The sequence below is a fragment of the Homo sapiens genome, chromosome 21, assembly GCF_000001405.40.
Source record: "Homo sapiens chromosome 21, GRCh38.p14 Primary Assembly".
Lineage (NCBI taxonomy): Eukaryota > Metazoa > Chordata > Mammalia > Primates > Hominidae > Homo > Homo sapiens.
The window spans coordinates 14215434-14228602 of record NC_000021.9 but is presented as its reverse complement, the minus strand read 5'-3'; the positions used below and the strand labels follow the sequence as shown (position 1 = coordinate 14228602).

The window sequence follows — 13169 nt, the reverse complement described above, 5'->3', positions numbered from 1 at the left end:
ACTGCCCCCATGATCCAATTACCTCTACCTGGTCCTGCCCTTGACATGTGGGAATAATGGGGATTACAACTCAAGGTCAGATTTGGGTGGGGACACAGACCCAAACCATATCAGCTACATAAAGCAAAATTTAGTTTTTCATTTTGATTAGATAGAAATAAACTAATATTTATGTTTCAAACTTCACTATATTATATATTTGTAACCAAGATTAAAATTCAGTTACTCTCTTCATTAAAAACATATCTTTATTTTTTTAAATAATAAATATCTATAAAATGCTAGGCAACATGCAAAAGAAACATCCAAGCATGGCTTTTACTATTGAATTGAGTGGTTAATTCCCAACTGAGTTGCATGACTCTTTCAATTAGCTTTAGTAAATATATATATTCATCACTCTAGTTTGTAATGAGCTATAAACAAAAATGCCCAAATAATTTTATTTTTCTTCTAAAATAAATAAACCAAAAATAGGAAACTTGATTTAGACAATAAGTATTACATATCATACATTAATAAAATATTATTCTATTTACTTGCTCATTTTCATGATTTAAATGTTAATATAGCATCTCAAACCTTGCTAGCAAAAGAGGTGAATAATACACACTGACATAGCCAACTGATTTTAATGACATACAATTAATATGTGAGAAGAGGAAGGTATCCCTATAAATACACAATTGTATAAAAAGGGAATGATCCAAAAGTTGGTTTCATGATAATTATCTTTCCTTTGGTATCATTATCATATGTCCTCACTTTATAAAATAAACCTGAAGAAGAATATGGCTCAGAAACAACATATTTAGGTACTAAAAGAAAGGGGTACTAATGCCTGTTTATTACATCCTCATTAGGAACAATATGCAATCCTTAAATATCTGCACTACTTTCTTTCAGGAAATCCACCACTCCACATTGAATCCCAGCCTATTTGTAGTTGAGTGTTGGTTATAGGGGATAATCAAAGGGAACATGATGCTTTATCAATGTGTTCAATAAGTGACTTTTGATTAATAGTTTGGTGAAATTTCATCATTGGTACTAATAAAATGACAATAGTCTATTTGTTGCCAATGGGTCAAAAATATCATGACAAATACAAAAAGTGGTACATTATACTATTTTTAGAAAGCTTTTGTCGTTCAAGGCAAAAATTGAACAGCAAACCAGAGATAAGTCTTATTACTACATATTTCAAAAGACAAGATAGCCATGACATTGTTTATTTGATGGGATAACATCTTATTTTTTTCATAAGAGAACTAAGATCAGTGTAGGTAAGTTTCATTTGTAGGTAATACTAGTATCTTTTCTTCTTCTTAGACTTTCGGAACTTTTGGCTACATTCGTTGCCTCTGTTGTTGTCTGTGCTACTATCACTATCACTTGTTTGCTTTTGTCTCTTTCGTTTATTCATCTGATAAAGGTCAGAGTCACTTGGTTGTTGGTGAGTCCATTTATATGAGCTGGGTCCAGCCTCAAGATCTGGAACATGATTCAGTGAGGAAGACACGGATGCACTATTAGGAAGTGGAGCTGTCATCTGATAAAGGTCAGAGTCACTTGGTTGTTGGTGAGTCCATTTATATGAGCTGGGTCCAGCCTCAAGATCTGGAACATGATTCAGTGAGGAAGACACGGATGCACTATTAGGAAGTGGAGCTGTCATTTCATAGTAAGGAAGCTGCAGCACTGGATTATACACATGCCACTGCTGTGAAAACAAGACATTCATCTACCAAAACAAATCCAAAAGGTTAAGGAAAAAAAATTAACAGTTTACATGTATTATACAATAGCCATGAGTAAACTAAACTGTGTTTTGGTATAAGAAAGACAGTGACCTCTCATAGTAGAAAGGTAGGTGTTTCATTAAAGGGTCAATATAAAGAGTTGAGGCTGTGTATAGCTCACTACAATATAGATTAGTGCTATCCAATGGAAATAGTTTTTGTTTGTTTTTTTTTTTTTTTTGAGACAGGGTCTCACTTTGTTGCCCATGCTGGAGTGCAGTGGGGCAAATCTTGGCTCACTGCAACCTGCGCCTCCTGGGTTCAAGCAATTCTCCTGTCTCGGCCTCCCAAGAAGCTGGGACTACAGGCACACGCCACCACACCCAGCTAATTTTTGTATTTTTAGTAGAGACAGCGTTTCACCATATTGGTCAGGCTGGTCTCGATCTCCTGACCTCAGGTGACCCACCCGCCTCAGCCTCCTAAAGCTCTGGGATTACAGGTGTGAGCCACCGCACCCAGCCCACATGTAGTTTTAAATCTAGTAACTGCAATACAAAAGTAGAAAGAAACAGTGAAATTAAACAATGTATTTTATTTATCCCAATATATCCATTTAAAATGTTATAACTTTAATATGTAAATGATATAAAATTAATGAGATATTTTACTTTTTCTTCAAGTGAAGTCTTCAAAATATGAGGTGTATTTTATACTCATGGCATATCTCAATCTGAATGCTAAATTTTTATTGAAAATACCTGATCTGAATTTAGATTACATCAAATTTAGAGTTGAAAAAAATATACTCACATGGCCAAGTTGTTTCAAATATACTTAAAAGTTTTCTGAAAACCGAACCAAGTATCGGTTTTAAATTTTAATTTAAATTAATTAAAATTAAATAAAATTTTAAAACTCAGCTTCCTAGGTGCATATGTGGCAAATTGCCCCCATATTTTATAGCATAGTTATTTACTGTTTAGAGAGATGCTTCCTTTAAAAACAAACAAGCTCTTAACTCAAATTTCTAACTATTCAAAGATTAAAGATTAATAGAGATACCATGAACTTGTGTCTCTCTCCTACCCCATCTCTACCAAAAGATAAAAAATGCTTCGATGAAGACATTTATAGTTTCAGACGAGAACTGATTGTTTACTAATGTTTTACCATAGTTAAGAAAAGGGTTTTTTTTTTAGCAAAAGTTAAAAAGTATCAATTTACAGGAAAATTTCTGTTTAAAAATTGAAAATGGATATTTAACAAATCTAAAGCTCACATATACGTTGGGTATTTGCAAAAATAATAGTCTGTGAATCAGAAGACCTGGGTTAGTCCTACACCTGTCACTAACAAGCTGAAAATCTTGGGACTGTAGATTAACAACCCTGGACTTCAATTTCTTATTTATGAGGAATTAAAAAAAAATGAGTTCACCTTTAACAATGAAGTCCATAATTAAGATTTCTGGGTCAAAACCAATTTTTGGTAGTCTCTGGAAATAATTTAGTTTACTCGACCAATTGAGAATCTTCATTGCTATGATATCCTTCCCCTGTGATGTGTGCATGAAGGACTAAGTATATACTCAAGAAGGATAGTTTTGTCTTTAATTAAAAGGAGAAATTTACTTTAAAAATCCATGTCCAAAAGCAATCTATTTGGGATTGATGACATTATATAAAAATACTTCACTAAGTGAAATTATTCAAATTATGCAATTCTGCAAACATCTTTTTTTTTTCTTTTGAGACAGAGTCTTGCTCTATTGGCCAGGCTGGAGCACAATCTTGGCTCACTGCGACCTCCACCTTCTAGGTTCAAGCAATCATGCCTCAGCCTCCCGAGTAGCTGGGGTTACGGGTGTGCACCACCATGCCCAGTTAATTTTTTCTATTTTTATGATGGAGAGGGTTTCACTGTGTTGGCCAGGCTGGTCTCGACCTCTTGACCTCAATTGATCCTGCCCTGGCCTCCCAAAATGCTGTGATTATAGGTGTGAACCACCATGTCTGGCCACTGCAAACGTCTTTTAAAATAGTCATTTACATTAGAACTCTCTACTCAAATTTCACTTGGACTGCAGTATGTCGTCACTGCCGTCCATCCCTTTTCTGTTGACACCCTGGCCATTTGCTAAGGCATTAGAACTGAAATTTAGGATGATGGTGTTAGGCCAGGACACCACTGGAGGACAGTGCTGGGACATCTTGTGCCTTCATCCCAGTTTAGATTTGGGCACCATATGTTACAAATAGCCTTTATGTTCTTCATAGTTTGTATCATATTATATACTAAATAAAATGCATATTAAACTTACCATCTTCTGAAAGAGAAAATATTCTTGAGGTAAAGAAGTATTATTAATTGGAAAATACTGCATGGGAAAGGAAGATCTGCCCACCAACATTTCTTCATTCCTTTGAGGAGATGAAAGAAGAAGTAATAAAATCTTAAAATTCCTATTACAAATGTCATTTTCTCTTAAGAAAAACCACTATCTTTCCTCAGGGGATGCAAAGTTGTCTGCATAGAGGAATCACATGTAAATTCAGAAGTGTGATGGGCTGACATGTCTCCCCAAAATTCAGCTGTTAAAGTCCTAAATCCCAGTATCTCAGAATGTTACCTTATTTGGAAAAAGGGTCACTGCAGATATCATTAGTTAAGATGAGGTCATATTGGAACAGGATGGGTGCCTAATACAATATGAGTGGTATCCTGATTAAAAAGGGGAAATTTGAAGACAGACTGTTTTAGTCCATTTTCTGTTGTTATAACACAATACCTGTTTGTTATAACAAACTGGTATTATATAACAAACAGGTACTCTGTTTGTTATGAAGAAAAGAGATGTATTTCGGCTCATGGTTCTTCAGGCTGGAGAGTCCAAGATCAGGTGGCTTCTGGTGAAGGTGGTTATGGTTAGCTTCTGGTGAGCTCTACTATGTTATAACATGGCAGAAGTCATCACAGGCAGGAGGAGCTCACGAGAGATGGCCAAACTGGCTTTTACAACAGATCTACTTGTGATAACAAACCCACTTCCTCAATAACCAATTAATCCAATAATCCATTAATGAATTAAAATATACATGAGGGCATAGCCTTCATGACCCAATCACCTCCCAAAGGTCCCACATCTCAACACTGCTGCACTGGGGACCAAAATTTCAACATATGAACTTTTGAGGGACACATTCAAACTACAGTATGGTTACCCACAGGAAGAACACCATGTGAAGATAAAGGTGGAGATCTTGGTAATGCTTCTACAGGCTGAAAAATACCAAAGATTGACATCAAACCACCAGAAGCATGAAACAGATTATTTCTGATAGCTCTCATAAAGAAACAATGCTGCTGACACCTTTATCTTGGATGTCTAGCCTTCAGAACTATGAGACAATGAATAGCTATTGCTTAAGTACTCTGTTTGCGGTACTTTGTTATAGCAGCCCTAGCAAACTAACACAGGGAATATTCATTAAAAGCAGAAGGTACAAGAAACAACAAGAAGCATAAAAATCCATTTCCAAGGGAGAGCAAAGACTAGATTGTTAAATAAGCACCATTTTTCTCTGCAAATCACTTTGGGGACATGATAACCCATTTTATATGCTTTCTTTATAATATCAGAAATACTAGAAGAATAAAGTATTATCAATGAAATGTCATATCCAAAATATACACATAACTCAGGCTGTCTACTCTAGAATTTGTGATGACTTAGGGTCAGTGTATCAAACATAACTAGAAAATACCAGAGTTTGACTGCTATATTCTAGTGCCCATCTAGTCTTTTCTCTTCCGTCTAAATCTTACCAATAGCTTGTTCCTTCCTAACTCCTGAGGAAGAAGAGATACCTTTTCCCACTTGGTACTAGTAGAAAAAAGGAGTTCTTACATTATACACATGGCTCGACACATGAGTCTAGATAGTGCTTCCCCCCCTTTATGCTAACATTTGCGGAACATTGTATGCTCAGTATTTTAAGCACCTTGTGTTAATTATAAAATTCAATTCTCACAGTAACCTTTCAAAGTTTTATCCTCATTTTAGAGATAGGGAACAGAGTGGTAAAATAACATATCCAGTTCTTGTCTGAATTTGCATCTTGCCTCTGCTACTTTATTAATAGTGTTAACTGACTGTTAATAAACTGTTAATTGACGTTAATAAAGTGGCAGAGCTAACATGCAAATTCAGGCAATCTAATTTCACCACCTCCTTTCCTAACTTCTCATTTCACTGATGTAGAAATGTTGGGTGAATGAAGATGAGGAGCACACTGTTTTATCTGGGGTGCAATAATGCTCTGAAAGATAAACCTGGCTATTTGACAGTCCCGAGGGGCCACTCTCCAATGTTCAGAGGGTTGATATAACTAAAAGGGATAGGAGGGTCAGCTATTGTTAGTTTACTTGAGAATATTCAGCTCTGCTAAAGAAGACAAGAAAAAAAGCAGTATGGATGACACTCATACTGTTACTATGATAAACATTAGAAATGTAGCTAGTAGAGCTATACTTCTCTCTCTATATATAAGTATCTATATAGAGATACATAGATCTATATGTCTACTCTGAATAGAGTATATCTATTCCTCTCCTCTATATATAGATATAGATCTCTATCTATATCATACATCTATATGATATATCAGAACATAATATACCCTGACCTATTCTATCAGCCTGTGTAAGTTAACCAGACAGTACCAGAGAGCATGATGAAGCCAAACATTAAAAAAAAGAAGAAATGCAAAGAGAATGCAAAGAGAAGCACTTTCCCTTTGCAAGAACGGATTGTTTTTGTTATTCATATTTGTTTTCAGTATAGCAAGAGAAATTTAAAAACCAACAAGTGATACATCAAAAAGCCTGAACCACTTAGAGAGGCTGCAGAAGTACTGCAGTCAGCAGGGGAGGCTGATACAGCAGAGAGAAACAGGGCACGTGTTTATTAGTGTAACCAGAATTCAGCTAGTTCGTCCTTCTGCCTACTTGCAGCTTTTCCTAAGTGTGCTAAGCTATCCAATATCTTTCTTCTTGCTTTTCACTGTTTTTAAAATGGATGTAACAAAAGCTGTAATTTGAACATTTTCATTTGGTGTGGGAGCCTTTTAGTTTCATGACCTCTGGGATAGCCTGCCAGAGAGTGTATGTGGAGGCTACCATTGCATCAATAAATCAGGCTATACAAAATTCTAGATGAGTTTGAAAATTAACACAGAGAAGTTATTTCAAAAAGTAAAATAATTAATTCAATGGCTTAATGTCAGAAGGCTTAGTTTCAAAGCTAGCACTTTATCATCCTGTGACCTTAAGAACTGGTTAACTTTTGCAACTCCATTGACTCAAATATAAAATATAAATAACAGTATCCCTGTGATCCATGATGAAACCTTGTATGCTTAAATGATTTAACAGCTATGAAAAGCATGTAGAAAACTATAAAAAACTACAAATATAAGTCTCTACCCCCTACTACTGAAAATATTAAGACTGAATTTTAAATGAAAATATTTTCTATCACTTTTCATGGGCTCGGAAAAAAAAGATATTCCTTAATTTTATCCTAGGCCTAAAAAGTAAGGTTTTACAATAGCCCAAAATATATAAAAACTCCTCTTGGCATAAAAATATATTTGCTTTACCTTTGATGAGAAATATTTTTAAAATTACCTGTAGTTGTGTGAATTTATCTTAACACAGCTCTCAAAACTTTGGTTAGCTGGTTCAGAAGAGCGAGAACTCCCTTTGAAAGAAACAGAGTAACAGGTTACTTCATGGTACATTTTTTTTTGAGTTGTAATATTAAACCATAAAATGACTCAAAATATTTTAGGACGTAGTAGTGATTTTAAAATTCTGTACTCAGAGAAGATATATGCATATCTGACCTCTCAAATCATATTTATAGATTGTTTACAGTACTATATATATATCAATGAATTAAAATCAACCTTTGTCTAAATCAATGACTGTAAATAAGAATGACATTGACGTTGGACTTTGTAAGATACATGATGGTTTGTTCCAGACACCTGTAAACTAAAAATGGCAAATAAACAAGTGTTATTTGTTTCCAGTGTACAAGGCAGGAGTTTAACCCTCATGGACAAAAGCCAATTCAATCTTATACATGATGTGCCAGAACATAATATACCCTGGCCTATTCTACAGACATTAAAAGTAATGGCAAAACCGCAATTACTTTTGCACTAACCTAATACCAGGTTGTGTAAGTTAACCAGAAAGTACCAGAGAGCATGATGCAACCATGTATTACAAAAGAAAGGAAGAAAAAAAGAAATGCAAAGAGACGCACTTTTGCTTTGCAATAAAGCATTGTTTTTGTTATTAGTATTTGTTTGCTTTTAGTATAGCAAGAGGAATTTAAAAACCGACAAGTGACAGACCAATAAGCCTGACCACTTAGAGGAGGCTGCGTACATATTGCAAGAATTACCAGATGGCCTCTATTAGTCTCCTGAAACATGAAAGAGCTAGAGTAATGGTATAACATTCTCTTGGCAGCTAATCATGAATGATCTGTTCCTGATATGCGTGCAGGAGAAGTTGTTGAGGCCATTCTTGTCAGGAAGTTTTTTCCGCCACTACTAAGGGTAACTCTACGTTGCCTTTCACCACTTTGCTCTTACAGGGGCTAAAATCCTGTGCAACATGTATAGAAAGATTTCCCCAGAAGGACTAAATGCCCTCTCTCTATCTTCCAAATAGTACAGATTCAGTACCATACATCAGCAGTAACAAGATTAGTAAATACCCTTGCTATATAAATGTTACAGTTGTGTGACCCCAGTTCATTTAGATTTGCTCAATTTATAAGGGCCAATAGCAACCATCATAGCTACTTGCTGGCTGATACTAAAACGATTATCTTACATTTTATTTTTAGAAAAGATGCTATAGGTTTGTCAAGACTAATTAACTATATAACATTATGAATTAGACACGTGTTCTGAGAAAATTTAACAATGACCAGAAGGTAGAAGGTACTTTTTTTTGTTTTGGTCTTATACTACATAGGAAACAAATTGCTTACAACTCTGAGAATAGTACCAACCACAAAACACTTTGAAGATTAATCAGTGACAGGACCTACCAAATCGATACTGCACGTTAATTGGTCTTCCATATAAACGAATTCCATTCAGCAAAGCTATGGCATAAGACACCGATTCTGGGTGTTTAAAGCAGACAAATCCAAAAGACTTTGGCTTTCCTTCTCTGTCTTTGCATATAGTCACTTTGGTTAGTGGCCCCGCCTATAAGAAACTTAAAAATTATTTTCTCATAAATCCAAAGATTTTTTTTATACTCAAATAAGTAAATTCAACTTTAGACTAAAGAAATGTGTTAGCAATATCTTTATGTAGCTCTGCTAATAATGTATCTTTCTAATAATAAATATTACACTTCCTCACACTTTCTTTGTATTTTCTGGCTCATTGGGGAAACATACATGGTGTTAAGAACAGGAAATTCTAGGTATTAGTTTCAAACTGTAAAAGAAATGGTAGACTATCCTTCTGTTAGGCTTAACAAACCAATTTAGAAAACATATAAATCTAAGATTAAAATACTACTTTGTCTCCATACACATTCACAGTGTTGAATTCAAAAAATAACTGAAATGAGAAATTCAATGCTGGTTGAGTTATCCTCAAAAAAGCTGGCGATGTTATATCATAGTTTAAATTTTCTGTCATGAAGATTAAATATCTTTTCAAGAATAAATAAATTTATCATGCATTTTGATTTGGAAACTCCATCTGGTAAATTTCCAAAGGAAAAATGTTTAAATATGTTCAAGACTTTTAAGTATATTGCATTGTTTATAAGTGTGAGAAATTAGAGAGGCTCTAAATCTAACAACTGGAGATATTATTCCATGGTGTGTTACTAAAACGGAATAAAATATAAATTATAAATATTCAGATTATATTGATAGAAAAACCTATAATATGCAATGAAGATTTAAAAACACAGAGCCAAATATCATAGAAGATTGTTAATTACAACTAACGAAAAATTACATCACAGCCATGATAATGATTGGAGGAGGCACTTACAAACACAAACAACTGATTTAATGCTGAATGGTTCAGACTTTAATAACTGATTATTTTTCCCTGTAGAGTTGCATAAATAAAAAAATTGCTTTTACTCTAAAGAAAAATATTAATGATCATCTTTAAAATAATTCTGTGTGTTAAGATTTAGTCTTTTCCTTTCATTCTCTGTGCTCTCCCAGGGACTAGCTTCCCTTCCCTTCTGGCTTCAAGGACCACCTCATCAACAAATTTACTTTTCCCACCATGTCTCTTTCATGGAGACACCTCCTGGAGATGTCTATGTTTTTGTACTTCAATCTCAACATATTTGAAACTGAATTCACCATATTTTCTCTAAATCTCAACTCTAGTATTAAAAGTGTAATGATAATAAATCTGATTTTCTCATTTCCAAGTATAATCAGAAATTTGAAAGAAAATAGTAAAAGGATAAATATACTGTAATATAAAAACCAATAAAATTGGTGATTTTTATACAGATATTAAATAGATGTAATCACTATGGGACAGAACATGCTTACGTGATTTGAATTTTGACATAAATTTAGATATTCAAAGCATTTGTAAAGATAAAAGTCAACATGAAGACTTACTTTTAGCAACAATCACACTATCTTACAGTATTTTTTAAATCACAATGAAATACATAGTGTGATAGTTGTCAAGTTTTGCTGGGTGTTGAAGTCTAAAGTGGAAGAGAAACTCCACTTTGGCAATTCCTTTCAATACCTAGACAAAAATAAGAACTTATGCTTCTTACCTGATCTATTAAATAAAATTTATATTTTGCTTAGGTGGAAGAAGGAACTGATAAAGAATGAGAAGATAATATATAGTCTTGTGGATCCACACAACTGATATTGATCGAGTCCTGATTGACTAAAAATAATGGTTATTGGATAATGCAATCCCACCCCAGTCTTCCACTCTCCTTTTTTTGGAGGCTCAAAGTGAAAGAAGTCTTCTGGAGAAAAATAACTCTAAGTTTACTTTATATTTCTTTCGGTTTTTGTTGTTGTTTTTTTTAACTTAATATAGTAAGTTTTAAATGATACTGAATGAAAAAACAGATATGGATTAGAGTTCATAAAAAAGGAGGCAAGTTTAAAAAGATGAATTAAAAGGATGAACCTAAAAGTCTTAAAATCAATAATATTTTTCAAATAATAAAAAAGTTTTACGTCCAGGAAAGGAAACTGTATTCCTGGAAAGAACCCTCTCTACCAAATTGTATCTACAATTAAAAGAGGGTTGCTTTAGTTAAGTTTCGAGACAAAAGTAAGTCCTTTCACAACCAAATAAAGGACCCCTTTGACCCATTCAATCCTGAAAATTTAGTTCTGTAATTGCCTCCCTCGGAACTTTCCCTTATTCTGATAGGAGAAAGTAACTATTGATTTCTCTTGATGTTAGTATTATTACTAATAATAACAGCAGTACCATTAGCAGTAGTAGCGGTAGCAAACAGCGAGTGCTAGACTCAGCTGTAGCCATTTTACCATTAGGCCACATATTCCGATAGCCACATTATACTGCAGATACTACTACTCTCTTTTGACATATAAGGAAACTGAAGCACTGAGGAATTCATTGACAGGCTCAGAGTCACACTGCTGACCTCAGAGTTCGCACGCGGAACCACTTTTCTATCTATGTCCCTTCTCTTTTTATAGATTATCGTAAACATTGTAATTTTAAGTTCTCCCTGTTAGGAAGATAAAAGGATGTCTCGTCAATTTGTTTTCCCAGCACCCTCAGTATTTGCCCCGTAATTCCGGATCATTACACGGTTAGGGGAATGGCTGAATGAGTGTATCTTTTTGGCAAGTGATACCTAGCTGTATAGGACAATACGATAAGTGAGCGTGTATACAGGACACAGCAGGCTTAATCCTAGAGGTACCAGATCTCAAAGTTTCCGAAGGTCCTCTTGGTATGAATTAAAGGGCCTTGTCCAGGGAATCACCTGGTCACAGTCACGGTAAGTTGGCTGCCAAATCATCTCAAATCTCACTTTTCATGCTGGAATAAAAATACTGTCCGCATAAAAGGGCTTGAAGGAAGGAGCAAGGTGTAAAAGGAAACATTATAAAAGCGACCCCTCTCCTTTTGGGGGATGTCAGGCGTGCTTACTACTTGACGGAGAACAGTGACCAGGCTGTTTTCGGTTCTGCCCGCGCACACCCGAGGCCCAGGCAGCCTCTGGGAAGCCCTTAATCAGAAACGGGGGTTGAAGGAACCACGTCCCTGCCCAACCCCAGGACTCTGCAGCGCGGATGGGGATGGGGAACGCGCCCTCATTTCACTCCCCAGCCGCTCACCTGGAGACAGGTGCGCCAAGAGGAAACGAAATTAAAACCCCTGCTCAGGATGGGACGGAAGGGGGCCGGGCTCCGGGTGGTCCAGGTGCGCGCTATGTTTCCGGCCCGACGTGCTCCGCCCCTCCGCCGCCCCTTCCCAGAGACGGTACCTGAAGGAACAGCTCGTACAGAATCTCTTCCCGAACTCGGGCCTCTAAATTCCCAACAAACACGGTCCTGTCGGCCTCCTCCTGAGCAGGGAACATCCTCCGGTCTCGGCCGTAGAATGAAGTAGGAGCTGAGACCCCGCCCCTTCTCCGGCTTTACGGCGCCGCCTGGGTGAGGGGGCGGGGCCGGCGCCGGGAGCGCGCGCTGGGGGCGAGGCATGGCTCCAGGGCCACGCCCCCAGCGGACTTGGGGTACCGCCCACCGCACTGCTCCCTCGCCTGGCGTAGGGCTGGGCGGTGGGAGAGTGGGTGAGAGTAAGAAAGATGAATGCAGAAAGGGCTTTACTCTTTAGCTAGTGGGGTGGCTTCCTTTTTTTCTGGCACATTAATTGATTTTGGATTTATTCAATCAACATTTTAAATAAAGTCACTGTAGAGATGATTTAAATTGTGGTAACTTCATTGCAGAAGCTCCCAGGCAAATGCGGGGAGATACATTTCTTTGGGTCCAAAGAATAAATGAACAAATCATGAAGATATTAAACTATAAATAATTTTTGAAAGAATCGATGTTTGCATGGATGTGGATACAACAGAAAACTAGAATTAAAGTTTATTTTCCTAGAAAGTGCTCCCTAGATGAGTTTTTGAAACTGGTCGCAGAGGTTTTAAGTGGACTCCAAAAGGAACTTGAGAAAGCAAATACCAAGGGATATACTGGTGAGAGTGAGCCAGTTTTGTGTCTAAGCCAGAATTTTTGAGGATGGCAGCTAGGGTTTGTGTCAGGATCCAACGGCTGTACTTTGTTTCAGGGCTATACTTTGTATATGGTGTACCAGGCTAAAGGCTTAG

The 13169-nt window shown here is 36.3% G+C and overlaps 1 protein-coding gene across 10 annotated transcripts, besides 1 other annotated feature; it reads right to left on the bottom strand.

The window, feature by feature from the left end:
* Positions 1-230: 230 nt before the first annotated feature.
* RBM11 (RNA binding motif protein 11) lies at positions 231-12446 on the bottom strand. 10 transcript variants are annotated; one of them, XM_005260997.6, is made up of 6 exons: positions 12321-12446; positions 8878-9040; positions 7434-7506; positions 4066-4165; positions 1679-1744; positions 430-1552 (listed from the first exon to the last, which is right to left on the bottom strand). In XM_005260997.6, exons 1-6 carry the CDS (start codon positions 12414-12416, stop codon positions 1310-1312), a joined length of 741 nt encoding a protein of 246 aa, XP_005261054.1. In that variant the 5' UTR covers positions 12417-12446; the 3' UTR covers positions 430-1309. The 10 variants fall into 10 exon arrangements, 6 of the variants coding, with proteins under 6 accessions (XP_016883876.1, NP_001307531.1, NP_658983.3 ...); NR_135311.2 differs by having other exon boundaries at positions 231-1744; positions 8878-9050; NR_135310.2 differs by having other exon boundaries at positions 231-1723; positions 8878-9050.
* Positions 12400-12629: a silencer, noted in NCBI's record as "silent region_13213". NCBI's record gives its function as "represses an Ori minimal core promoter by ATAC-STARR-seq in GM12878 lymphoblastoid cells {active_cell/tissue: GM12878}" and the evidence as "EXISTENCE:reporter gene assay evidence [ECO:0000049][PMID:35858748]".

What these genes read in the sequence shown, in the direction of transcription:
- RBM11 (NM_001320602.2), bottom strand. Translation starts at nt 12,416, where the DNA reads ATGTTCCCTGCTCAGGAGGAGGCCGACAGGACCGTGTTTGTTGGGAAT. An exon ending in TAACGTGCAGTATCGATTTG is followed by an intron (nt 7,507 to 8,877) that starts GTAGGTCCTGTC and finishes TTTCTTTCAAAG; the next exon opens with GGAGTTCTCGCTCTTCTGAA. An exon ending in ATAAATTCACACAACTACAG is followed by an intron (nt 4,166 to 7,433) that starts GTAATTTTAAAA and finishes ATCTCCTCAAAG; the next exon opens with GAATGAAGAAATGTTGGTGG.